Below are 4,096 nucleotides of genomic sequence, written 5' to 3' on the forward strand. Positions count from 1 at the left end.
CGCATCATTTCTTCTTGTGTGCCTCTTTCTAGTGTCCCACATACAGGGATGCCTGCTTTACAAAGCCATGCTTGATGGCATGTCATGCCCACAAAATGATCTACTAAAGTTTCATGCAATGAAAGCCTTAAACACAGGAATCATTCGTATACTTCAATCACCAGGGGGCTCTTGGATAAAGCTGCATGGTGGACAGAGGAGCTCCCCACTTGGCCTCCCCAAAGTGGGCCCCTGCATCGAGCATCCCCCAAACGCCCCCAAGAGCAGCAGCTGTGCAAAGCACAGAAGGCATTTCCCCAGCCTTCTTATCATCACCTGAGTCAGGTCCGTGGACAGTTAAGAAGAGCTTGGCTAATTCCATCAGCTTGGCTCTCTCTGCCCTGTTCTGACTGACAGGCCGGGCCCCTGCTCATCCCTGAAAACTAGCATCGGGGAATGACATACAGTTTGATAACATAAGATGCTTAGGTTTTTTGGCTCAAGTGAGATGTTCAGAGCTAATAGCCCTGCGAGCTGAGTTTTAGCTGTGATCTGCACCTTGAGATATCCGTTATGTCTGGATCAGGAAAAAGGGAAAAGAATGAGAGCTTATTTCTAGAAAGGTTTCCGATGAGCAGCATTTGTCATTGAAGGGGAAGATGGGTATAATTAGCTTGTCAGTCTAGTTTGGGCTGAGCAGGCTGTCTCTGCTAAGAAAGATGGACTAACTGCCAGGGCCACTGACAGGCAGTCGATAGCGCAGCAATTAATGTCATAAATAATTCCAGAACCAATTACATCAAAATGGACTCAGAGCTTTAAAAAGGTACAGAATTCTCTTATTCTTCCTGCTAACAGCAAGAAACAGCTTTCATTTTTCTCTGTAATTACTTTTCATTGTATATAGCAATACAGCTGAGCTTTTCTGTCCATATTTAAGCCTTGTCTTTCTCCAAGCCTCTTCCCCCACCACCAGCCTCCCTCCTTCACCCCACAGGATAAGGCTGTTAAAGTTGTTCTTCCCTGCCAGAGCAGTGGGGTGAATGTATAATCTTTTAACTTGGCTGTTGCAGGAGAACTCCAGCTACACCTAAATGATTAAGAGCCAAGTTTTTGAAAATGTCATGGACAATGACAGCACAGTGCCCCAAACAATGGCATTTGGAAATGAAGACATTTGTGAAATAAATGGATTTGTCTTATTATTTTAAAGGTTGCTGTGACTTTGCTTACACTGAATTTATTGATTTTTCCCCCTTCTCCTTCTCCTTCCTCTTCTTGTTCTCCTCCTCCTTCTGTACAGTTGCAGGCATAGAAGCTGGGCCAACTATTCCCTCTACACTGCAACCACAATTCAGTACTGCCCATGTGTGCTAATGGGCATTTTTTTTTTTTCCAAAGGAGGATCAGTCTCTTAAACATAGCGTTTTACTAAAAAGCTATTCTCTTCAGCTGTCTCAACTCTTCAGCTAGTTCTCTGTGCATTACAGTACATATGTAGATAACACAAAGGCTATTATACCCATAATAGCAATGACATACCAGATACCACTGGTGCTAATAGTCTCTCTCTCTTTTCTTTTCTTTTTTTTTGTTACTCTAACCCATCAGTTGCCTCTGTGGCTTGTTTAGAGAAAGGAGGGGATTGTGGGAAAGCAAATTACTGTAGTATTCATTCACAGCTTTGTTCCAGGCCTGACAAACATTTCCAACTTTTCAACCATGGTGTCATTTACTCCAGAGGGACCAGGCAAAATGGCTCATGAAGCTCCCACCGTTTCAAAACCAGAAACAGCTGCCGGTGTTGCTTGCAGTTTGCTGAGTGTGCTCTGGCTCTGAGCTGCCGCTGACGGCTCTCCCTTTAGCAGTAGGTGTCACTGCGGTGAGTGGTAATTACAGCGGAAGATTTTAGAGGACACGGGATAATTAGGCCAGCCCCGTGCAGGCATAAACACTGACATTTACCATATTAAAAACCGGAGATGTCGGCATTTTCCTCCCCCCACCCCTACCCAGACCACAACGATAGCAACCTCACCAACAAAGGCAAGTTTTCAAGAGAACAAAGGGTCTTTGCATTTGAGGGAGTTTGACTGGGCTCCTGGTGCGGTGCTATTTGTTGGTCCCATTTGGGTTCCGCTCATCACTTGGGAAAGCGTCCAGCTGAGTCTCTACGGCTTATACTCCTTCCTCTTGGATCCTGCAGAATGCCATAGCCTAGGCATGATGGCAGAGGAGGTGGTGGGGCATGATAAATTATACCATCCAGAGAGCACCTCTTCCTTTCCACTGTGGGCTGGGCACAAGGTGGCATCTCTCAATACTGCCCTCTCCTGGACCTGGGTGATGCCATGGCAGTAACAGCAGGTATATTTCCTGGTTCTCCAGCAAATGACAGTCAGGAAGTAGGAAGGTAGATGAATACAAACACTAGTCCTACAAACCCAAACTACCCCTCTAAGGGCTGAAGTTATGGCAATATCCTCTCACCCTCTGTCCGAAATAGAAATGGAACAAGTGTTTGCAGAAAGTTCAATAATGCCTAGGCTGCAGCTGCAACCTACTCCAGGGAGCCCTTCTGAAAGTTACTGGGGTGCTCAAATGCAATGCTGTAGATCCAGAAGAACCCATGTTTGAATTCCAGACGGGCCATTTTCCTATTAAGGGATGCTGGGTAACTTCGATCCTCAGTTTTCCCTTTTATAAAATGAGAAAATGAAAGTGCTTACTTCACAGAGTTGTTATGAAGATAAAATAAAAAAGCATTGAGCACACAGAAGAATTGCATAAAATGGTACAATTCTTTCCCATTGCAAAAGTTCATTTGCCCCAAGTCGGGGACTGTGTTTGAGATAGATTTTCCGCAGAGAAATAAGGCTCAAGTCTCAGATCTCTGTGCATTGGGGAAATGACAGTGATTAAGTGAGAAACCCTGGCTACTCTCTGAAGGCAAGACCTCCAGACATGTTTGTGCTAACATGGGGTGGATCCACTCTCACATTTGCTCCCTCACAGATGCTGCAGATACAGCGGAGGGCTTTCATAAGTGAAACCGCACTCTCATCTTTTGAATGGGAACTCCTCAATACAGTCTGGATTTTAAAAACATCCTCCCAAACACGAACACCTTCGTGGTCTACCCAAGCATTTGACTTCTCTGCAGGGAGGGCTCAGGGCCCCCATCCCTTGATGTGGGTTGTTTAGCTTGGGGTCATGGAGCTTCATGGTCCGGGAGAGAAAGGCAGCGTGGACCCATGGAAAGAGCTTGAAGCCTTTGATCCAGGTGGCTGTGTGGAAACTGGATGACCCTGGGAAAATTACTTCAACTCTGTGAACCTGAATTTCCTCACTTAGAAATGAGAAAAAAATAACCCACCTCCACCCACCAGTGCCAGCCCAGGTAAAGCACTTGCCCGTGAGATATGGAACCCCTTCCCCTCCCTTTGGGTATTCTCTTTCTCATCAGTAAAGGAATGAGTCTCCTCACAAGGAGTTTACGAGGCTCTGGTGTCAAGTGGTATCACTTGACACCAGGAAATAGGAAGGAACAAATAGGAAGGATCTCCTTGTTGTTATTATTCATGGTCCCCAAGGGGCTTTCTTGGTGTGGCTACTCCCAGCCTCAGGATGCTGGGCTCTGAGTTCCCTCTCCTGATGACAGCAACAATGCAGCTCAGCTAGAGAAGGGTCCAACTCTAGCAGCTGTATTTTCCAAATTAAAAATATGCACAATTTTTTTCAACTATTTCTAGCTGTGAGAGTCAGCCTAACACTGTTCTGGACACAGAAACATCAGAATTTCTGAAACATCTCAGTGACATAAAAGACTAGGACTGCATGTTTTAAACAGTAACCATCTTGGACCATGTGGCTGCACTGGAGATGTAGGTCCCCATGGCAGCCCTGAGAAGATGCTCCAACCATGATCTGTACAAGCCAAACTTTGCTTGAGGAGGAAGGGCCAAGGCAAGATTAGTGGTTAAGCAAACAGTAGGCGTGTGTGGCATAGGAACAGCCTTTAGGGCTGGGTTGGTCTCTTTGGATAGTGTCTGAGATAGTTTCCAGAGTCACTCTCCCCATCCTCATTGCTGTGCTGAGAGTTTTTTCTGCTGTTTAA

The 4,096-nt window shown here is 45.7% G+C and overlaps 1 annotated feature.

Annotated features, from left to right (window-relative positions):
* Positions 273-1,558: an enhancer, noted in NCBI's record as "VISTA enhancer hs748". NCBI's record gives its function as "enhancer in: forebrain[5/8]" and the evidence as "EXISTENCE:transgenic organism evidence [ECO:0001131][PMID:17130149]".

This window comes from Homo sapiens, chromosome 10 (genome assembly GCF_000001405.40).
Source record: "Homo sapiens chromosome 10, GRCh38.p14 Primary Assembly".
Classification (NCBI taxonomy): Eukaryota; Metazoa; Chordata; class Mammalia; order Primates; family Hominidae; genus Homo; species Homo sapiens.